We start from the raw sequence: 24,202 nt of genomic DNA, 5'->3' as shown, positions 1-24,202 counted from the left end.
AAAACAAAATATTACTTACCAATGTGATGAGAAGATTTCTGTATATGAAGACAGTACATGATATGATTTTTATTTCTAGATTTAGAGATACAAATTTAGAATGAAAAATCAAGTGCACACTACTCATTATTGCCAGTGGCTCCTATGAGAAAATATTTCTGTAATTATTCCTGCAAACCAGGGCTAGTTTTTGCCTGAAGAAAGTACTTTGATTTCTTCTGTACACTTTATATTCTGGACATGTGTTAAGACCTGACTGGGCATTGAAGGATTATCACATGATAGAATAGACTGGGATGTACCTTCCTGAGAGATAGTACATTTTCTGTACTTAGTAAGTAGCTGCTACCACAAACAGTATCTATAAAAAGCCCAAGTCTGGTTCGTTGGTTGTCTGAGAAATGAGGACCAAGTGCTACTCATGCTATCCAAACTCCAACAGAAAAGGAAGTGTAATAATATGTAGTAAAGGTAAGTAAGCAGAGTCTTTACTATACGGACCTTACTCATTTACTATTTTTATAATAACCAAGAGAAAGAGTCCAGGTCGGCTCCTTAGAATGTTAAGTATTAGATTTAGATTCTTAATTCTATTCCTTTAAAAATACTACTGTGCTTTGAGACTAGGTTCCAATCTTGACAGTTCTTCTCACTCTGAATTCATCATCTACTCATTTTAGCTATTTCTGGTCCCACATAGTGGTGATTTTTGCATGAGCACTGACCATGCAAAAATCACCACTATGTGCTGCTGATTTTTGCATGGTGGGTGCTTGGGGTGTTATTTTAAATACATTACAACTGGTACGGTATGACCATCATTGCAACTGAATGGTACTGACCATAAATAACTGACATGATAAAACCAGGGTGAACCAACTGAACATCAACCTTGCTCGGGAACTCCAAGGAACAAAACCCTAGATCTCCTCTCTATAATATTTATAGGAGACACTTAGTTGTGCCTACATTCACAAAGTTCTAAAACGTTTTTAAAAATCTTTATTTGAAAATTTCATATAGGCATTCAAAGAACATTGGCTCACTGAATAGGAGACTTTACATCTCTCATGGCTGGGCAGCAGCTGTGTCTGGCTTCCTTACTTCAAGATCTGCCTTGATCACAGATCACTTAACAGTGGTTAAGTTTCTTATTTTCAAGTTCAGCAGGTAAACCTATCTCATTTTTGGAGGCATTTTTTAAGTATAAAAAGTCTGTTATTTAGGAAGGTTGCACAGTTCAGAGGTGAACATTTCAATGTATTTAAACTTTCCTAAAAATGTAAAAATAACAATCAAATAGGAGAGGTAGCAAATCCACAGAGGTATAAATAAAACAAGAATGGAAGAATGCTGATAACTGTTAAAGCTGAGTGATGGAAGTTCATTATATAGTCTGTTTACTTTGTATATACTAAAACTTTTCCAGAATTAAGTCTGCTACATCAAACAGGGATTTTTTCCTATTTTAAAAATTAAATTTTTTAAATTAAAAAATTTTTTCTTACTAATCCTTAATTTTTACCTATTATTTGTTTACTCCAAATTTATTTTTATCCTTCTTAAACAGAACATCCCAAACCTATAACCTTCAGGTTTCTAATTAATCCAGAAGATTCGATAAAATGTATTCTATTGATCCTGATGATAATCCTTACATCATACTAAGTATGTGTGCTCTTAAACCTCTCAAATGTATGTGAATTTTAAACAGTTGTGCCTATGTTGAAAAATTTCATCACCTTTAAAACTGAAGCAGAGTTATTCTAAAAATGTTTTCAAGCATACACAACATTTTTCATTTCTATATATTTTTTATCAGGAAGAACTCTTAATTACTTTGAAGTCTCCAGTGGCATAAAAATCAGAGTCACACTTAAAAGGTTCATTAGAAAGAGTCACATAAATATTTCCGTTGTCTACTGTCACTGTGTGAATCCTTTGCTTTATTCCTTTGGAGCACCACTTGGGTTTTGCTGATGGATCTTTAGGGTTTATAGACTGGTACAGACCTTCTCCTGTTGCCAAAGTAATTTTGTATTTATGCCAGGGGCAAACTATACACGGTCGTCCATCAAAATCCTGGGGAAGAGAATAACTCATTTAATATTCTGACATGTCAAATGTTCTTGATAGACTCTGAAGAGTCTGCTGCAGAAGAACCAGGTTAAAAAAACAGGTTAGCTTTTCTTTTTTTCCTCCTATGTACAAATTATTCAGCATAAAGCAGATCCTAATCTGAGAAGAGTCATCAAGCTCTTTTACAGTTGATTAGAAAGCCAGTTAGAGCTCTATCAGAAGACTGACATGCTCAGGCAACTAAACCATGTGACTGCAGCTGTGCTGTTATCTATTAGATGTTAATGTCGCCTCCTTGACAGAAATGGGGCAAGGACTTCAAGTGCTTCTATAGGAATTTTCACTAGCTTCTAGAAGAACTGTAAGGTTCAGATATAAATTCAAAAGGAGTTACTAAAGGCATGAGTGCATATGATAATAGAAGAGCAATTTGTGATCCAAAGTAGTTAATTCTCAACTTTTTAACTGTCTTGGTGAAGTGCTTCTCAAACTTTAAAAAACATAGGAAGCACCTGGATCTTGTTTCAATGCATGTCTCTCTGTTTAAATGTAGTAGGTCTAAGGGGTTGGGGTGACAAGATTCTGCATGTCTAAGAAGCTCCCATGTGACACCAAAGTTGCTGGTCTATGGACAACAGTTTGAGGAGCAAGGTCTTCAAGCTCTCATTATGGACTGAAACTGGAGAAAATTCTATGGAACTATTATCAGCTCACACATGTAAGTGGGTGCTTTCATTTTCCCCTCTATATCCAAAAGTGCAGGAATACTGATTTGTACTTTCATAAAACTGTCAGCAAAGATTCACATTTTCATAATTTACATTACATAAAACTGTCAGCAAAGATTCACATATGTGGGTTTGGACAATGGGAAAAAATAGAAAAAATAAACACACATACGTTCTTTAACATGAGGACAGGTGTGTACACTCATCAAGTGTAGAGAGAGTGGAATGCTAAGTTCAAGCTTGTACTTTGCATCGGTTAGAGAGAGAGAGACCAATTTCATGAAGAAACAAGAAATTAGGTGACTAGTTTTGGAATCCAAGGAAGCAAAGACAACTTCCCCCGTTCCTCCTCAGTTAAGACTACAGTGTGGTTTATTTCTTTAAAAATATATTTATACTGTATATTTTTGTTATATTATAAAAATAATATATACTCATTTTAAAAATTCAAATTATGCACAGTGTATACAGTAAAAAGTGAATATTCTTTTTGATGAAAAAAGAGATCTCATAAGACTATTATCATCCTATGACGTGCTTTTTTCAGTCACAAATACATTGTTCACATCTCTCCATACCCATATAGATCTGCCTTATTAATTTAATGATTGCATGGTACAGTTATTCCACAGCATGGCTGTATCATAATTTATTTAACCAGTTTCCGATTGTTAAAACATTTAGGTTGCCTTCAATTATTCATTATAATAAATAATGCTACAATGAATCATTCCTATACAAATACTTAAACATCCGTGCAATTATGGCCATAGAATAGATATAGAGTATAATTGCTAGGTCAAAAGATAAGCATATTTCTCATTTATCTTATGAATTCCCAGAATACTTGGAATTATATTCAAAGCATTAAAATATAGTTCAAACCAATTATAAATTATTTTTGAATATATTTATTTGCTGAATTTGCTGAAAATAAATTTAATTTTACATACCTCTATATCTCCCAAATGTAAAGGTCCTCCTGAGTCTGAAAAGGAATTGAATATTACCTGCAGTCACTAAAAAACTGAAATTTTGATAGTTTCATGGTTTAAAGTTTTACAAATGAAAAATAAAATCTTACGGTAACAGCGAATATCCATAGCATGATATTCTCCCTTGTGGTAGAAAATGACCACTTCTCTATCATGGACAACAGCTGTCATTCTTTCAGATTTTTTAATGTCATCTTCTCTGCCCACACACACAGAAGAATATTCCCTCTTTTCAGGATCTTGTGCAGAGCCATCAAGATTCATGCTAGTTGAACATAAAGAAGGAAAGTTACAAGAAGTATTCACTAATTTGGTTCCAGCTTAATGGAGATAACCCTAAGAATGAATAGTTCGGACTTTTCAAGATTAATGGAGGCACTTTCTGTAGCTATATAAAACATTTATAAATACTAGATTATTATTATTTTGAGACAGAGTCTCACTCTGTCACCCAGGCTGGAGTGCAGTAGCACGATCTCAGCTCACTGCAACCTCCGCCTCCCAGGTTCAAGGGATTCTCCTGCCTTGGCCTCCCGAGTAGCTGCGATTACAGGAGCCCACCACCACACCTGGCTAATTTTTGTATTTTTAGTAGAGACAGGTTTCTCTGTGTTGGCCAGGCTGGTCTCAAACTCCTGACCTCAAGTAATCCACCCACCTCAGTCTCCCAAAGTGCTGGGATTACAGGCGTGAGCCACTGCGCCCGGCCATAAATACTGGATTATATTAAGTAGGTAGTCATTACTTTGCGTTAGAGACTCTTAAAGACTGCCAAAATTAGGGAGGATTCCTCAATCTGAGGCTAGAGTTGTATTAGATTCATTTCAAGGTCAAGAAGGAAATTTCAGAACTTGTAAAACATAGAGATTTAAGTTTCACTATCCCTTTATTTCCTATCAAATTCAACACTAAACAACATTCAGTTATCTGCATTGTTTTCAGCCTTCTGCTGAAAGCAGGATTCTTTGATTGTCTGAATAGTCTTCAGCCTCTTGGCTAAGGTGGTCCACTTGGTTTTGCCTGGAGTACACAGTTGGCTCTTACAGGCACAACCAGATAGCTATTACAGCAAGAGAAGGTGGGTATGAATGAAAACCTTTCATTTTCTTACCTCAGATAAAAACTGGTCACTGAGATGACAGCTGAGCTGAAATGCCCAAAATGCAAATGAACTAGACATGCCAACAGCTTGGGGAAGAGAATTCCATACTGAAAGAAGAGCAAATACAAAAGCCTGAAGGAAAGAAAAGTCTTGGTGAATGTGTTCCAGAAGACTGGAACATAATATGCAAGATTGGTAAACAGGCAGGAGCCAGGTTGTGCAGTGCTGTGTATGGATTTTACTCTAAGAGCAAAGGAAAGCCACTGAAGAGTATAAAGCAGGAAAGTGTGAATTGATTTCTTTTTGAAAGAATGCTCCCGGCTCTGTGGAGAATGGATTATAGCAAAACAACAATGGATGCCCAGAAATCAGAAAGCTAGGGGTCCATGAAAAAGGTGGTGGCTTGCCGCAGGGGGTTGATGCTGTAGGGGATAAAAAGTAATAACAACAGTAGCAGTAGTAGCTACAATTATATTGTGTTAACTATGTGCCAGGCACTATTCAAAGGCTACATTTATTTATTAACTCCTTTAATCCTCCATGTTACTAAAAAGGTATTATTTTAATTTTATAGTACAGAGAAGTTGGGTTGATGAACTTGAATGAAGATGCTACAGAAAAATAAATAAAGATGACTCCCAAGTTTTAGGTTTGTGCAGCTAGGTGAACTGTAGTGCCAAAGACTGTGAGGAGAAAGGCCAAGAAATGAATGGTATTTTTGCAGAATGGAAAATCAAGAGCTATATATATTTTACACATATTGAGTTTAAGGTATCTCAGAGACATCCAAGTAGAGATGTCAAGTCAACAACCAGATATATGAGACTAAAGTCGAGAATTTCTAGAGAGAAAAACTGGGGAGTTTCCAGGTCATAGAATTCTATGGACTCACTTGGAGAGGAAGTGTAGATAAGGAAGAAGGTCTAAGACAATTCCTGAAACACTTCAACATTTAGAGGTCAGGTGGAAGAGAGGTTGTAGAGAGGCAAGATCAGTAGAGTGTCCAATCTATTGCTAATCAAATGAAATTCATTCACAGCTTTCTTCTCTGTCTTATATTCTCCTTGAATTGCAAATAGGTGGTAACCTGGAAAAAAAAAGGCAGGCAATGAGGCCACATAAATTCCAATGCTGGTCACGTCTGTGTACTAAACAATAAATAATACATGAAGAAAACTCGAGGTTCTTAGGAAACTGTCCTGAAACTTTGGTTGTTCTATAAAGAGTTGTGCCTACCCTGTACCCTTTTCTCTTTGTAAGTTCACTTACTCCCTATACATCCACCCTCCTAGAAATCAAATACTGATTAGTATCCAAGTAAGAGCTTATATTCAGAATATAACCATTACTACTCTCTTTTCCCTGTATTTCTAAAGTTTGTCTCCTATTCCACTCTTTAATATCCTTTTGGCCAAATATAGAAATTAAAAGGTGGGAAAAAAATCAAGACTAAGAAATATCTCAATATTATTTTTAGGAACAGGCTTAAGGATTATAGGTTTGATCCTGCCCTTGAATCAAAATAATGACTCAGGCCAGTGGCTCACACCTGTAATCCCAGCACTTTGGGAGGCCTGGGTGGGAAAATCAATTGCCAAGAATTCAAGACCAGCCTAGGCAACATACTGAGACCCAGCTCTACATAAAAATGTTTTTAAAAAATTACCCAGGTGGGTTGGTACTTGCCTGTAGGGTTGGCTGCCTGGGAGGCTGAGGGAGGAGGATCACTTGAGCCCAGGAGTTTGAGGCTTCAGTGAGCTATGATCATACCACTGTACTCCAGCCTGGGCAACAGAGTGAGACCCTGTCTCTAAAAATATTTTTTTAAAAAAAGTTTGCTGTGGAATGCTCAAGATATTAAACACACACTTGTCTACAAATATTTAACAAAATTACAAATCAGTTGTCAACTTCAAATAAATATTCTAACTTTAGGAAGATATTTCATCATCCACACCTTCTTCAAATATAGTAATACTGTAGCATTTCACAGGAGTTAAGCAACATGATAATGTACCTTTCCTTGATCAAAAGGAATCTGCATTGTAATTCCACTCAAGTCTTAGGTTACCATTTTACATAAAAACACATATATCCCACTTCTTTTTTTTTTTTTTTTTTTTTTTGAGACGGAGTCTCACTCTGTAGCCCAGGCTGGAGTGCAGTGGCTCCATCTGGGCTCACTGCAAGCTCCACCTCCTGGGTTCATGTCATTCTCCTGCCTCAGCTTCCCAAGTAGCTGGGACTACAGGCGCCCGCCACCACACCCGGATAATTTTTTGTATTTTTAGTAGAGATGGGGTTTCACCATGTTAGCCAGAATGGTCTCGATCTCCTGACCTCATGATCCGCCCGCCTCGGCCTCCCAATGTGCTGGGATTACAGGCGTGAGCCACCATGCCCGGCCCTATCCAACTTCTTTAAAGAAGGCATTTGTACCTCGGTGTACCTAGCTTAGAATGGTTACACACTATGGGCCAGTCGCTTCCCCAAAAAAGGGAAATTGTTTTCATGGAAGTGCCAAGTGACTTTAGGACTTCTGCAGATAATTTTCCTGATGGCTTCTCTAAATATTTATTTAATCCCATATAACTGATTGGAAGTTTTAAAATGTTAGCAGAAAAAGAGCATGGTTCATTTAAAAAGTAAGTTTATAAAACAAAAATTATTAAGAGTAAAATCTCTGTTAGTGTGTTAGGAGTGAGCTTTAGAAAAAGAGAATTTATAGGTCACTATTTTGAGATAAATAGTTCTGAGCCATGTGGAAGACAGATATCAGATATCATTGTAAGGCTGGGCTCCAAAATTGAGGTGTAGGTAGAGAGATATGTGTGTTCATGTTTGTGCATGTGTGCATGTGTGTTGATGGGGAGAGACAGGGGCTTTGAATTCAATGTATAAAAGAAGGCATTACACACATCAAACTTAGAAAATTATAGGGATGTCAAATTTGTACTCTGAAGTTTGCATTTTTAATTCTGCTCTAATTTTTTTTTAAAGGGGGGGATAGAAAAGTAATACATATGCTGTTTTTAAAAATTATCTCACAATAAAAAAGCAAAAGTTTATTATTTTAAAGCAAAGGCAAAGAGGACCATGGCCATGATTTTCTGGGTTAGCTATGGCTGATAGGAGGCAAGAATACTATCTCTGAATGGTCATCTGGTTTTATTTGATTTTGGCAGGTACTCAAAGAACACAAATTGATCAGGTGGTAGTATTTGCCTTCAGAGTTGGGCATGCAGCCTTCATCACATTTTGTGACAGAACAGAGGGGTAATAAGAAAAATGGGAACAGACAAAGGAATGAACTGAAATAAGGGGAAATAGGCTAAAGAAAAAGAAAAGAAAGAAATGTGGAATTTGCAATACATATAACTGACAAACTCTTGAGATTCAGAATATGTGAAGAACTCCTATAGGCCAGTAAAAAAAGAACAAATAATCATAGAAAAATGGGCAAGACATGAACAAACATTTCACAAATAAAGAAATCTGAATGGCCAGTATATGTAAAGACACTCAATCTCATTAGTAGGAAAACGCAAAGGAAATGCAAAGCAAGGCCATTAATGTGATACTATTTTCTATCCACCAGGCTGACAAAAAATTATACCAAGTATTAGTGAAAATATGGAACTGCTAGTGATAACATAAATTAGTGCTACCACAATTTGGCATTACCTAGTAAAGTTAAACATAATAATAATCCCACTTTGGGTATATGCCACAGAAATGCACACAGGTACACCAGGAAACATACACAAGAATAGTTATAACAGCAAAAAACAAAAACAACACAAAACCCATCAACAGTAGAATGGAAAATGTGTATGTTCATTCAATGGAATGCTGTACAGCAGTGAAAAATGTATCTCTACATCAAGTTGGCTTAATTTCAAAAAACATAATTGCAAGTGAAAAATTTAAAAAGGAATTCAGAGTATGTTTCCGTTTTTATCACAAAAGTGGCAAAACCAAACAGTATATTATTCATGGATATATGTACTATAGGGTAAATATATCAAGAAAAGCAAGGGGATAATAAACATTTCTTAAATGTCTAAAAGTATTTACTTTTTTCTTATAATTAAAATTATTCTTTTCAAGATTTAAGTTGTATCCTAATGTATATTTATGTAGCAAATGACCCCAAACCCAAGAAAAATGGAACAAAATTGCCCTTTCTATCCTCAGAGAATGTGCCTGTGCATAGGTCATGAATTAACTATTTGAGAATTTTGTACAGCTAATTTCAAAACTTGGCACCAAAGGAGGAAATAAATGAATAGTTGTTTTCCTCCAGGCCAAAAAAAAAAAAAAAAAAAAAAGCACTACTATCAAAAAGTAACGAAATACAAGAGATGTAGTATAATATCAAAAGTTAATTATGTTTTCCCAACTCCCAAATAAATGAGAACCAAATACAGGTCTTTCTCAAATTTGAGTCACTACAAACTTACAGTTTTTGCAAGGTTTGCCTCCAACCCGACAAACTGGTGAACTTTTACGGGACTGATAAAAAAGGAGCAGAGAAGACTGGGGCTAAATGATAAAGGTTTCAGAGAACTATGATTATGGCTGTGCATTTTGCTTAGAAAAGTATAATTTTATATGTCAAATAATAGTTTCCTCTATGTATCTTAAATGGTACTATTTATACTATTTGAGGACTTTTTACATTTAACACCCATATTATTCTTACTATTGTGAATATCATGATCCATTCACACAATAGGGAAAGCCCACGTGTTCACCTTAATTATCGTTATTTTGATGAACTATTCATAAACTCCCAATATGTTTCGATTTTAAGTCTACTTTAAGATAATAGAATCTTAACTGAATGAAACAGAAAATTAAACAACTCATACAGTTTGACGGCTAGTTGAAAACATCCCCCTGAAAAACTTAGTCGTTGTGTTTCATGTTCTCTTCGAGAAAAATTTTTGGCCTGTCCCTAAAATTGGTTTCTAAAGGTGCTAACTCCATATAAAATTACAAATTAGCTAAATGGATACTCGGTCACTATTAGATTCCTTTCCAACAAAGGAAATAAATTCAAGTGGAATTTAAAAAAATATTTAGTGTAACTCAAATTTCCACAAGACACGGGAGATAAAAGAAACATGAAGTGAAACGTACTTACTTGTCACTCGTCTTGAACCATGACTAAGATGCTTTTACCAAGTGTGGAAACTTTGCCTACACATTATCAGAATGCTTATCTCAAGTATGACACCCTTGCTTTTACATGCAGGGAAGAGAAATGCCTTAGAGAGTAGTTTTGGTATCTCTCTGAATGGCAGAATAATAACAGATAAAACTAGCTGTCCTTTAGTAAATGCCTACTGCTTGGACCCTTTGAATATAATAGTTCATTAGTCTTCACAAAACCGCCAACGGGTAGGCATTAGTTTTATTCAGGTAGCACCCACGTTTTTATAAAAACATGAGGCTTGCAAGTAAACTATCCTGAAGACACAGAAACCTTTTAGCAAAGCAAATATGTATATTGGTGATATATATAGTATTGATATTTATATTTGTCACCAAAGATGGTCCTGAATTAAAAAAAAAAAGGAACGCTAATGTGCAACAGCTATGTTCACGAATGTTTACAATTGAACGCTTGCCCAATAATTTTATATAAAGTCACAGAGCTGCTCTGGAAATCAGCACCATCGTATGATGTTGAATTGTGATCACGAGTGAGCTAGACCTGGGTTTGCATCCCAGTTCTGCGTGATTTGGGGCAAGTTGCTTAACTTCGCTGTGCTGCAGTTTCTTTTACTTTAAGAAGGGCCCGCCACATAGGGGTGTGGGTAAAGCACATAAATGCTTTAACACATGTCAAATGTTTAGAGCAGGCCTAACCGCAGAAAACGCTCACAGCGCGTTAGCTGGCACCTCTAAGGTCCATCCAGCTCTGGCAGTTATCCTGCCTAACTTCAAGTTGTGTTTAACATTTCGGTAAAGACCGCCTGCAGTTCTGAGACTGCACGTGGCTGTCCAGGTGCTGCAAATTCTCGACACAGACTCCAGGAGGCGAGTATCTCCAGGACGGCCGGGGCTGCGGAAGCCCTGGAGCAGCTTCTATACTTTAGAGCTTTCATGGCACAAATGCCATGAAAGCTTGTTAAAAACGACCCGCGTACCCCCCTTAGGTGGCAGGTCTCAGGTGTGGCCCAAGTTTCAAGGTGAACAAGCTCGGTGAGTCTCCTGTGCCTGGGCGGAAGCCCGCCTTGGCGGGTTAACCGTTAACTAACGCTGAACCAAAACCCAAGAGGGCCTCAGGCCCCGCAGCGGCGCGGCCACAGCCGGAATGAGGAGTCCACGCCCGCAGCCCAGCCGGAAGCAGCTGGTCCCGCCAGCCCGCCCCCTGCGCGGCGAGAACAGAACTTACTGTCCCCGAGTCCTCGCTCCGCCTCCGCGTGACGCTACTGCACGAGCCAGAGCTCCAGACGTGCGCGGCGCCTCGACGGGGGCGGGGCGAGGCCGTCCACGTGACCCAAGAAGGCCCGCCCCCGGGACCGCCTCTATGGCATTGCCGGCAGATGACCCTGGTTGATAGAGATCTCTGGCCAACAGCGCCGCGCCAGCACCTTCAAACTGGCAGGCATACTCGTGTACTTGACAAATGTGGATAGCATCAGTTTACTTTTTAGTTGTTTGTTGATCTCATTACATTTATTCAAATTTTAGATGCGCCCAGCGACTTCATTCAGTTATTTACCCTATAAAAATATTTGCAGAAGGTCGTCGCGATGCTGGTAACCCATGTATAAGGATGTTAAGGCCGGGCGCGGTGGTTCACGCCTGTAATCCCAGTACTTTGGGAGGCCGAGGCGGGCGAATCACCTGAGGTCGGGAGTTTGAGACCAGCCTGACCAACATGGAGAAACCCCATCTCTACTAAAAATACAAAATTAGCCGGGCGTGGTGGCCCAGGCCTGTAATCGCAGGTACTCAGGAGGCTGAGGCAGGAGAATCGCTTTGAATCCAGGAGGCAGAGGTTGCGGTGAGCCGAGATCGCGCCGTTGCACTCCAGCCTGGACAACACGAGCGAAACTCCATCTCAAAAAAAAAAAAAATGTTTATTGCTGTGAAGTAGTGAAAATAGCTGAAGTGATAACACGGAGGAATGGTTCAATAAAACACAGCACAACAGTACAGACATGTGAATTACTTCGTAGCTGTGTACTGTATACTCAAAGGACAGGCCCATCATGTAATGAATATTAAAGGCAAAGCGTAGAATACTATATATGGTGTCCTCTCTTTAATGTAAACAATTATTTTTTGAAATACAAACATGCAGGTATGTACATAAACTTTTTCTCGAAAAATCAAAAGAAACAATAGTGGTTGCTTTGGGAGGAGATGGAGAGTTTTCACTTTCATATTATGAACTTTGCAATTTTGCTTTTTTCTCATTGTACTTCCCTGAATTGACAACAACAACAACAAAGAAAACCACCAAAACCCTCATATTTGTGTTCCGAGCTGGGAAACTAGATGAGCCTAAGTTTTTAATTTCCTTGACTACTTTCCAGTGCAGTGATTCTTAACCCTGGCTATGCCTTAGAGTCGCTTGGGAGTTTTGAAAAGTCGTAATGCCCAGTCTGTATGCCAGACCAACAAAATAAAACACAGATTATTTGGGGTGGGAAGGGAGTGGGCAGATTCAATGTATGTTTTTAACTTCCTGAGTGATTCCAGTGTGAACCCAAGGTTGAACACTACAACTTGTATTTAGTATGGTGACATAGTGATCTCAGGCTCTAGGGTGGCCCAATGAACTGGGGCAGCCGAAACCCAGGAACTTTGTCCATTTACCTCAGTGTGCTATATAAATGCCATTTTTTAAATGAGCCTCAACATGTAAGAAGTTGAATAGCTCAGAATAATTTGTTTCCAGTGCTAGTTTCTTCTGTTTTTTTTCTCTTCAATACAGTTTTATGGTGATCAATAATATTTTATTGGGTCATTTCCCTTTTGGCCATTTTTTTCACTGACCCAAACACAAATTAACTATCTAGTTTTGATGTATCAGTTATCAAAGATATAAAATATATTTTGATTTATTGTAATTTCCATTATCTGTTAGTCATCCCAAATGATTTTATTGGCACATGGAAGGTGTTAGTAGTCCCCAGCTTGTCATCGAAGGATTAAATAAGGTTTGCCATTTTAGAAATCCTTTTTTGCTTTGTCATATTCTGGGCATTAAAAAAGGACACATCTTAGATCCATCGACCTTAAATTTGATATTGAATAAACTGAAGACCTCAGTAGTTATACATGCATATACACACAAGTAGGATGAAAGAAGAGAAACTTTCTTTTATCTCTACCAAAAGTATTCATATGGTTAGTCATGTGATGTTTGGAAAGCTATAATGGAGGTCAGAATAAACTACCCTTCTCCACTTCCCAAGTGCACACACACACAAATGCACAAAACCATTCACACACAGGCATGCACATTAGGTAACAGCAAGAACCCATCCAGTCTATTTGGAAGTCATTATTGTTCAGAATAAAGTTCATAATTTCTACTGTTATTTTGCCTTTTTTTTTTCTTTAATAGAACAATGTTAGCAATGCTACCACTAAGTTTCACCTGTGGCCATCTTAGGGCAGGTACTACCTTTTCTTTCCTTCCTTCATTTGTTCTTTTAGCCTTTCCTTTTCCGCGCTTCTAACTTTGGCCTATTAGTGACACCTAGTGGTTCCTGTGGCCAGCTTTCCCCCTGATTTTGGCTCTCAATATCTTCATGTGTGGTTTCAACTGAAAGTTGTGAGCCTAGTCCCTCTGCCGTGAGCATCAGGCTGTTTCTAGGCAGACTTTTCAGGCACCAAGACTCCCCTCTTAGAGAAGTTAAAAACTTGCCTTCAATCCTAAGCCACAATCTGTCTTGACTGCTAGTGAAGGCACCTGTGTGCTGCTAGTTTCACTACAGGGAAGTTTGAAGGGTGTCCACCAATCTGGATTTCCTACTCCTTCACACCAGAAAAGGGTGATAATACTGCCCTTACTAGGCCCTGGAACTCAGATTACATGACAGTGAGTGTGGCTCTAAATACCACCTATGTGCTTATGACTCCTAAATGAATGTCTCCAGACATACGTTTGTTGGGGATGCCTACTTGACATTTCTATGGGGCTATTGTGGCAGAAACAGTGGTGTTCACCAGATATCCCATCAACTACCCCACATTTTCCAGCTCCACTTACAGTTTTTTGCGGCCACATGGCCAGTTTTGAACAATGGGCTGTAGACTGAAGCATAGAAAAGCTGAGATGAGACTTCTCCAGTTGCCTCTTTCTCTGTCATAAGAATTAACAACATTCTGGATGGTGGAGCCTCCACCAGCCTGGGTCCCTGAGTGACTATGCAGAACAGAGACTACATCTCCCCACCAATTTCCTAACTTCCACTAGGCCGTGAAAGTCACATAACTTAAGTGAGAAATAAATTTTTATTATGTTAAGGCCCCTGGAATTTTAAGGTTGTTTTTTATTATAACATACAATAGTTTAACCTGATAATTCATAGCTATCTCTAATTTCATTGTGTTCAAAATCGAAATACTAGTTCTCTCCCATAAATCTGCATTTCTTTGTCTTCTCCATCTCTATAAGTGACAACACTGTCCATCTTCAGGCTTAAGGGAGAAATCTGCATGTCTTCCTTGACTCTTCCCTTTTCCTTGTCGCACCCCTTCCTGCCCGTCTGTAGAGAAAGGAGTTCGCATAGCTGACCTGAGACTGCTATCCTTAAAAAGGTCTGCTTGTAAGGTTGGCCCTTCGCTGACATGTGAGAACTTGGCAGGTAAACAGTCCCTTACTGTCGTGCCAAAGCCCTATTAACCTCAGTAGGAAAGGAACCAGGTTCAAGAGGCCGAAGAAGAGACCTAGAGCCAGCAAACAAAACATGGTGTTTTATTAGGTGCTTACAGAGTCCAGTGGTGGTGGGATGGGCAGGAAAACTGCAACCGCCTGCAACCATCATGCAGTTTATATGGTATTTTCACTTTATACCCTCCCCCTAACAATCTCCACCTGGCAACCTTCATGTATCCCAAAATTCAGGGCCTCAGTCCCCTATATTAGATGTTTCTCATAGATAAAGAATGACTCTTCAGGTTAGCTACTCCCAGATTCCCTAGCTCAGAACATACATTCAGGTGCATCTGCCATATGGGGTCATTCTGAGGGTATGCATAAATTATTACTATCAGGTGAGTTTATCCGACACCTACACCTACACATACAAAGCTTTCCCTAAATAATAAAAGTGATTCCCTGTGCGTAAGCTATTTGTACAAACAATGCACTTGCTTTTCCTTCTGAGATTCTAGAACTTGGTACCTGCTAGGCAGAGGTGCCTGTGACCAATGTCCAGTAAAAACTCTGGCTGCTGAGGCTCAGTCTTTCCCTGGCAAAAACATTGCAGGCATGTTTCTACATTTTCATTTCTGGAGGAAGAATGCAGTCTGTGTGACCCCTCGCGAAAGGGAGAACACTTAGGAATCCTGCACACGAAGTCTTCCATGCTCTGCCTGAGTCTTTTTCTTTACAATCCAGCTGTGTATCCTTACTACGTTTCTGTAATAGCGTAACTGTAATGAGTCCCAGAATCTAGTGAATCTCCAAATGTGAAGGGGGTCTTAGGGACCCTTGATATCCCCCCATATCTAATCCAGCACTGAGTCCTGCCAATTCTTCCTAAAATTTATCTGAAATCACACCGCTTCTTACCTTATCTGCTATCACCACCCTGAAGGTACCATCATCTTTTATTTGTGTTGGACTTTGAGAGGGCCCAATAACACCTTTCTTTTATTTTCTGCCTGAGTTTGGAACCAGTTGAGAGACACAGAAAGAGATCAAGGTGTGAGCTTTATTTAATTATGAACGTCTCAATTGGGGTGGCTTAAACATGCAGCCAAAGGGACTAACAGCCTCCTGAATTAAACTTATGTATCAAAACTCTCTTAAAACTGTCCTCTCTAGCGGACAGACTAGATTGTACCCTCTCTACAGGTACACAAATCTGTAGAAAGAAGAAAGGAGCTAAGCTGAGCATACCAGGAGAAGTGAGTGAAGGTTGGAGATTTGACTAGCTGAAACACTTCTTGTTCACTGCTGATTTTTATCTTCCTGGTGGGACTCCAAGTCCTGAGCATTAAGCAAATGATACACAGCTGACGTAAGTGGGGGTGTGGAGAAGAGAGTCTGATCAGCAAATACCACCGAACCTACATTGAGCCTGAAGCAAAACACTGGCCATTTGTACCAAGCCAGGCTTAGCAAATACACACAACAGAGCTATGTGGGCCCAGCAAAGGCAAACCCCAGAGAGCTTTAGGTGACGTGGGCCTCGGGTGCAAGCTGCTGCTCCTTGACCTTCAACAACATTCAGAACATATTCATTCTGCTACACTGAGTGTTAGCAGAGATAGGGAGGCCACAAAGACCTAAGAAAGCAGGTATAACTAAGACAAGGTCTAAATTATGTCTTTAAGGACTTTGGCCTTTCAGACAGTAGTGGGTAGAGTCAGGTTTGCTGCAGTTAGAGGTAGTGATATTGATGAAACTGAAGCTTCAGGTTCCCATATTTGCATGGGGCCTTCCAAGATCCTGAGGTCCTGAGGGACACTAGTAATGTGTTCACATGGTCATATGCTCTCGCCCTCTCACCCCTACCCCTCACATATATAATTATATATAATTTGGTAACAAACACAAAAATACAGAAAAATACAGGGAAACTCTATTCCCAAACGCCCATTTGAGAGTATAGTACCAATCTGATGCCCCGTCAGTCCCTAATGCTTTAGTATGTATTTTCTCCAAATCTGGACATTCTTCTACATAACCACAATACAACCATCCAAATCAGGAAGTTAACACTGACACACTACCATCTAATCCTCAAATTCAGTTCAGAATCAAGATTGTATGTTTAGTTTTCATGTCTCTAGCTTTCTTCAGTCTGAGATATCTCCTTAGTCTTTCTTTAACATTTATGATATTTGCATTTTTGAAGATTACAGGCCATTCATTTTGTAGAATATCCCTCAGTTTGAGTTCATCTGATGTTTCCTCCTGATTAGATTCAGGTAATGAAGGCACATCACAGAGACTGGACTTTGAGCCTCTGTAGGCTGCCCCTTGATTCCCTTCCCACTGGGCTTGAGCTGGCCGTGCTATGTCACTACACCATGTTGCCATCTATCCCACTAGGGCTCTGACACTCCTCTGTGAGCCACCTTGGTCACTCCTCCTTCTCATCCCCCTAGCCAGCATGTGTGTCTTCCCCGCTCTGTCCCACCTACTGGCTTTAGGACTGAATTGTTCAGAAAGGAGAAAGAAGACAGGGAGGAATAATGATAATAATGTTTTTGTAAAATGTGTAAAAGCAAAGTAATTTAACTTCTGTGGATCAAGGCCATTGTTTTTCTTCTGTCACTCAGACATTTTGGGGACCTGGCTAAGGGGCGTCTGAGTTGGAAATACATTTAGTTTGGTTTTAGTGGGATATAGTTGTATGGTTTATAGCTTCCAAGAATTCTCCAGTTGCCCACTGTGGTGACTCTCCCTGTATACCCAAATGAGGGTGAGGGCGAGGGTTCTCTCAAAATGTGAAGGTGGGACAGTGCCCGACATGGAAGTATGTGAGTCCTAGAGCAGAAGCCAGATTTGAAATGGATGGAGCCAGAAATTAGGCTGTAGAAAATTCTATCATCAGATGTTCGGTAATGTTGTAAGTATGGGATTCTGTTCTCATTGACAGTACACATGAAATGTGCTTAATAATGACATCATGTAAACTATAAATCCACCACGTCTTTTTTGATGGGAATCACGTGAAATAGAATTTATCAGAACTCCTATGTCTAAAGTACACAAACCTGTACCGAGTCTACAAACTAAGTTTGTTTTATGCTTCCTATCAATTAAAAAAAGATTAATACTGTAGGAAAGATTGAATTATCTATCTGTTCCATTTATATAAAATATTATCATAAAATTATTGTGTGAAGGGATGACTAGAGAGTAAGTAGACAAGATTGTAGACAAAAAGTATTATAGAGGTATGCCTGGCAATTAATGTTTGCTGTTATGGCCATTTTAAAATATTTGTATTTTTTGTGATCATTCTTTCTAATTAAATATTCGCTTTTACATATATTTTTAAATGTATTGTTTTGTATCTTTTTCTTAAAGAGAACCCTTCCCCACTTCGTCACCTAAATCTATACCCAGCTGCATTTAAAATGTAAGGCGGCTGAGCTCCGCGTGTGCCTAACTGGAAATTGTCTCTGTGGGGTTGGGGAGGCAGCACTGCTTCAGATTTCATTCTGCCTTCTAGGCCAGAGAGGGAACTGTGGAAGGACAAACCTTGGATTCCTGTAGTACGTCCACATGCTCAAAGTCACTCCACATCATCCATGGAGTCAAGAGAGCTCTGGAGAAAGTGTAGCTCAAGGCAGATTGTTTAGCCTGCCACTGAAAACAGCCACTGAGGCACAGGATTGAAAGCATGCTCCCAAGAGAGCTCCATGTCACTAGATAGAGATCTTGCTCAATTAAGTACAAGGGCTCAGAATGGAAACGGCGATGAAGAGAATTTTAATTGGTAAGACGTGAACGACACTTGGAGACTGGGGCCTCCACCTTTGTAAATTTCTAAACTTGTTGGAAGGCAGAATGACTATTGCCCGTGTCTATGAATGGCTCTCCTTCTGCCCACCCGTCCCCCAGATTTGTTCAGCACAATGCCCAAATTAACCTCTTATGAAAAGATTTCTCCCAAATAGTTTACCTGCACAGAATATAGGTTTGGATTGCCTTCACTGACTGACTGACAGCCACCCTGAGGAAGTTGAGACACAGAGTCTCTCCTCTCAGATTCTAAGCCTATGCTAGAGTTTTTGGGTTCTAGAAGTACATCTTTATTTGGCAATTGCTCCAGGGACAGAGAATGGTTTGTTTCCTAACTTTGGTGGGTAGGTGAGAGGCTAGTGCTACAATAATGTTCTGGCTTCTGCTGAGACTTTTAACACTTTAAAAGAGTGAGGCTCCTCAGAAAATGGAAAATGAACAAATACAGCTTCAGAGATAGACTGTAGCTGCAGCTGCTTAAGGCTTTAGGAGCACCCCCAGCTGAGGCTATGCAGAATCAGAAACAGGAAAAGCTCTGATTTTTTTCGTAGAAGTGCAGAAAATTTTGATTTTCGAACTGTGACCCTTCAGATTTTGATAACTTTGGGCTTTACCTTGCAAGAGAATTTAATCTCTGAGCCTCAATTTCCCCCTAGACATTAGTTTAGAGCCCAGATGTGATGGTTTTGGTTTTTGTTTTTTAGTTGTTGTTGTTTCATTTTCAATGGGGCCCCTGTAGCCCCAACAGAGGAGAGCATCCAGGAGTGGGAGTCAAATTGAAGTCCTTTCACATGAAACTCAAGGGGTAAGGCATGCGTATTTCCATCTGATCCTCTGCTAGGGCTGGTGTTTCTGGCATGTGTGTGCTTCATTGAGTGTGGAAGGTTATTGTGAAGATAGCAGAGGCTGCTAGAAGGTGTCCATTTGCAGAGTAGTTTTGCCCATTGAACTTTAAAGGCTCTGAGAGTTTCTGCTGTAAAGAAACCTGGTTGAGAAGGGAAGAATAAATGAGAAGATGTCAAGGGAAGACATTCAGAAAAATCCAGAATGTGGAATATTCTATTAATACAAGACAACTGGCTTGGTCTCATAAAAAACACAGTACTCTTTTTAAAAAGTTCAGGAAGACTGTTTTAAAATAAAAGGCACTAAACAGACATAACAATCAAATGCAATGTGTGAACTCTAATTAGATTTTAGTTCAAAAGAAAAAGTTATCTATACAAGTAGTATTGAGAAAAAAAGGGAAAATTTGAACATGGACTGGGCATTACATGGTATTATCCCCTTATGGAAAATTATTGTTAGTTTTCTTAAGTGTTATAATGCTTCTATGGTTATGTAAGAATGTCTTAGGAGATGCATGCTCAAGTATTTGGAGGCGAAGTGTAATGTTATCATGAGTCTGCAACTGATTTTCAAGTTATTCACCAGCAACAACAACTATATACATATATATAAATGAAGATGGCAAAATGCTGAACTTTAGTGGTTAATGTGTGGGTGTTCTTTTGTGTTACTGTTAGCTTTTCTGTAACTGTATAATAAGAAGTTAAAGAAAAAGAAGCGTATTTAACCTAGTGTTCCAAACACTTGACTATGAAACTCTTTGTTCCCCTTATAATAACATTAATACATTAAGCATCTTCTGCTTCTTAGAGTACACTCTGTGGCTAGGGCAAGTTCTTAGTAGCTATATTTAAAAATATACAATAATGATAAAAGCTAAGTGAAAAATAAAAATCTTCTTGAAAATTCAAAATGCACACTAAAAGCCCATCTCAATAACTTAGAAAGAGCAGGTCTAATGCTCTTGACATAGTGGTGTGACTTCATTGACCAGACAGATGAAGGTCAAAGCTTGCACAATGATTCCTGAATGTCTAGTAGGCATTACCCAAAATGTTTCTCTTAGTATAACCTCAAGGATGACGATCCAGGCTAAAGGTTTGTTTGTTTGTTTGTTTGTTTTTGCTTTTGTTTTTGTTTTTGAGATGGAGTCTCGCTCTGTCACCCAGGCTGGAGTGCAATGGCATGATCTTGGCTCACTGCAAACTCCGCCTCCAGGTTCAAGCAATTCTCCTGCCTCAGCCTTCCAAGTAGCTGGGAGTACAGGTGCACACTACCACACCCGGCTAATTTTTATATTTTTAGTAGAGAATGGGTTTCTCCATGTTGGTCAGGCTGGTCTCAAACTCCTGACCTCAGGTGATCCACCCGCCTCAGCCTCCCAAAGTGCTGGGATTACAGGCGTGAGCCACCACTCCCGGCCCTAAAGTTTTAATCATCTGTATACTTCTGTGCTTAAAGAACTACATGAAATAATAGATCAGTTAGAACACTCTCAGGAAGAGATGTAAAGAAAAATTTGCAGGCATAATTGATGCAAAGTACACAGAATAAGATTAATAAAATTATTATTTATACTTTTAATCTGAATCCATAGCATTTATAAATGTGTATCATTTGATTTCCTTCAGTGGAGATTTGGGGATGTATAGTTGATTTGGATGTCATCTACTTTCTCTTTTTCTGGTAGAAGTTTCTTTTAGGGAATTCCTCTTGGGCAACACTTCTTCTACATGGTCTAGGTGGGCCACATACACACCCCTGCCCCCAACCTTTCATATACAAAGAGTGTACACATAACGCAGATCTGACCATGCACCCAATTCAGTGCAGTCAATTATAGATATTTTGCTTAAATTATGTGAAACAAGGCGCTTCCTTTCTACTGGCTTCATTAATCTGGCTGTATGTGTTGTTGGAAGCCCCTTCATCACTAGGGAGGTAGGCTGTCTAAGAATGAAGCCAACCCAGAGCAAAGGAGACCTGAGAGATGGGGAGAGACGGATTCCTGATAACATATTCTCTGCACCTGGATCCAGCTCTGCCTGAAGCAATTTTATGTTCTTGGACCTTTTGATTTCAAGAACCTATAAATTTCCTTTTGGTTTAAGTCAGGTTGACTGGATTTTCGTTCATGACAACTAAAAAGTCCTGAATTATATTAGGAAAAGATAGAAAACTCTCTTCTATTTTCCCCTTAAAGAGTCACTAAATTTGGGCCAGGTGTGGTGGCTCATGCCTGTAATCACAGCACTTTGGGAAGTTGAGGTGGTAAGATCATTTGAACCCAGTAGTTCAAGACCAGCTTATACAACATAGCAAGGCTCTGTCTCTATAAAACATTGGAAAATTAGTCAGGCATGATGGTGCATGCGTTGGTGACAAGCCAGGTGCGGTGGCTCATGCCTGTAATCCCAGCACTTTGGGAAGCTGAGGAAGGCGGATCCTTTGAGCTCAGGAGTCCCAGACTAGCCTGGGCAACATGCGAAACTCCATCTCTATTTCTTTATTTAGAAAAAAAGTCACTCAATTTGAAATTTTCAATTTCAAAACAAAATTTGAATGTATCAGTCAGTATTTTTTGTGACTTAAAAAAAAAAGGCACTGGTTCTTCAAATAGCCAAATAACAGTGATGGTAATAGTAAAAACATTTAAAAGAGCATTTTCCTCATCACTTTTATGAAATAATACAATTAAGAACTGTAATTAATATGACCACTGTGGGGGGAAAATAGTGTTCTTTCATTATTATTATAACTACCAACATAATCTTCATGGAATTTTGCAGCTGTTTATAGGATAAAGTATCCTGCTTTTTGTACTATACAATATAAATTTTAGCTGTAATCCGTGTTTCCTCAGCCCTGTAAGTCTAGCTGCAAAAAAATTATTTTATTAAAGCATCTACTTAGCCATTCCAGTCCAAATTCACCACTCAGAGAATACTAGCTTTCCTTTAAATTCCTCCAAAGATAGCTTGATAAACCCAGGTGGAGTCACGTATGTCTGTGGCTGACTTGTGTGTCTCTAATACTGTTGTCTTGGGGTTCTGTAGATATTTTACTAAAACACTCAAGGAAGATACCATGGTGGATCTGGATGGGCACAATTTGACCAACAGACATTGAACTGATTTAGACTCACTCACTCCCCTAACCTTCGGTCCTCGTATTACTGGTCTCTATTTTCTCTCCCCTTAGGATGAAATCTTGACCTGAAGGTCCCTTATGCAAATAAGCCCTGGAAGATGGCCCCTTGCCAGTCCCTCAGGCCTGTCTGCCATATTTGAAACCTGCAGTAAAAACTGCTTACAGTCTCAAGGTGAGAAGGGTTGGTCAGGAATTACTTTTTAAATAAGCATTTTAATTCTAAGGGTTGATGTGGTAGCGTTAACCTACGATGGCAAATTCTTTGACACTCCTTCTGTAAGAAGGTGGGGTGTATGTTCCCTGCCTTTGAGTCTGAGCTGGTTTGTGCCTGCTTCAACCAAGAGCACAAAGGAGGTAATGCCAGGTGACTTCTGAGTCAAGGTTATACGAAGCCAGGGGGCTTCTAACTTGTTCACTAGGACACTTGCTTTTGGGAACTTGAGCTGCCTTATAAGAAGCTTGACTCCTCCAAGGCTACCCTGCAGTGAGAAAACCAAAGCCACATGGAGGTCCACATGGAGGTGTTCTGGTCGATAGTTCCCAATAAGCCCAGCTTTTGAATACACCAGCCCAGGCACCAGACATACAAGTGAAGAAGCTCCTAGGTGATTCCAGCCCCAGCCATTTCAGTCTTCGCTGCCGAGGCCCCATGTATCATGGAACAGAAACAAGCCAGACTTCTGTACTCTGTCTAAACTTCTGCTCCACAGAATCCATGGACATAATAAAATGGTGGTTATTTTATACCACAAAGTTTGAGATATTATGCTACACAACAACAGATAACTGAACACGTTGATCCTGAATAAAATCAGGGTTTGTTAGCAGGGCAGGAGAGTAATGGCTGCTAACGTGGGCAATACAGAGCCTGCCACATTTCTGATGCCTGCTCCTGAACTGTTATCTGTGGACATGAGGTTTCTTTAACATTCCCAGCTTTTAGATGGAAAAAAAAAAAAAAAAGAAAAAAGAAAGAAAGAAAGGTGTCTCCTGAGGTTAAATAACTTCCTTAGGGGCAAATATAAGATATATCCCACAGGCATGATTTGGCTACAGCCACCTCTCACCTCTGAGAAGTTTCACATTGTAGACATGGGTTCGCCTGAATTCACACCAACCTGTCCTGGAACACACACAGGGTCCCTGGGACAAAACACTGAAGAAAAAACCCATACCCTCATTGAATTTAACAACTTAAAATATTATTTGAGATGAAGGCTAATCTGGGGCCTGGCATGATGGCTCTTGCCTGTAATCCTAGCACTTTGGAAGGTCGAGGAGGGAGGATTACTTGAGCCTACGGGCTTGAGACCAGCCTGGACAACAAGGCAAAACTCCCTCTCTACAAAAAAATACAAAAAAGTAGCTGCACCTAGTGGCACATGACTGTGGTTCCAACTACTTGGGAGGCTGAGGTGAGAGAATCACCTGAGCCTGGGAAGTTGAGACTGCAGTGAGCTGAGATGGCGCCACTGTACTCCACCCTAAGTGACACTGTCTCAAAAAAAAAAAAAAGTAAATCTGTTGTAACAAACAGACCCACAAAAGTCAGTGGCTTAAAGAAGATATGAAAGCATTTCTTTCTCATGTGATCTTCTTGCCTGTTTAGGCTATCTCCACT

General features: G+C 39.4%; 2 protein-coding genes across 11 annotated transcripts in view; one reads left to right on the top strand and one right to left on the bottom strand.

The window, feature by feature from the left end:
* Positions 1-5,947, top strand: part of SPATA9 (spermatogenesis associated 9) — a 79,922-nt gene extending 73,975 nt beyond the window's left edge. For 2 of the 4 annotated variants that reach the window (NR_125330.2, NR_125327.2), the window contains 4 exons: positions 1,024-1,170; positions 2,051-2,179; positions 2,633-2,797; positions 4,919-5,947. The gene's annotated coding sequence lies outside the window, so the exon portion shown is untranslated. The remainder of the gene's footprint in view (positions 1-1,023; positions 1,171-2,050; positions 2,180-2,632; positions 2,798-4,918) is intronic. The other 2 variants (NR_125328.1, XR_001742295.1) reach the window with 2 other exon arrangements.
* Positions 46-11,351, bottom strand: RFESD (Rieske Fe-S domain containing). 7 transcript variants are annotated; one of them, XM_011543360.3, is made up of 7 exons: positions 10,054-11,249; positions 9,368-9,449; positions 5,797-5,991; positions 4,914-5,011; positions 3,892-4,067; positions 3,761-3,795; positions 46-2,082 (listed from the first exon to the last, which is right to left on the bottom strand). In XM_011543360.3, the coding sequence occupies exons 3-7, from the start codon at positions 5,854-5,856 to the stop codon at positions 1,819-1,821; spliced, it is 633 nt and encodes a 210-aa protein (XP_011541662.1). In that variant the 5' UTR covers positions 5,857-5,991; positions 9,368-9,449; positions 10,054-11,249; the 3' UTR covers positions 46-1,818. The 7 variants fall into 7 exon arrangements, with proteins under 7 accessions (XP_011541662.1, XP_016864902.1, NP_001124538.1 ...); XM_017009413.2 differs by lacking the exon at positions 9,368-9,449 and having other exon boundaries at positions 11,063-11,351; NM_001131066.2 differs by lacking the exons at positions 9,368-9,449; positions 10,054-11,249 and adding an exon at positions 11,311-11,351.
* Positions 11,352-24,202: the final 12,851 nt, after the last annotated feature.

Source organism: Homo sapiens, chromosome 5 (assembly GCF_000001405.40).
Source record: "Homo sapiens chromosome 5, GRCh38.p14 Primary Assembly".
Taxonomy (NCBI): domain Eukaryota; kingdom Metazoa; phylum Chordata; class Mammalia; order Primates; family Hominidae; genus Homo; species Homo sapiens.
The sequence above is the reverse complement of the archived record's forward strand: the minus strand, read 5'-3'. Positions and strand labels throughout refer to the sequence as shown.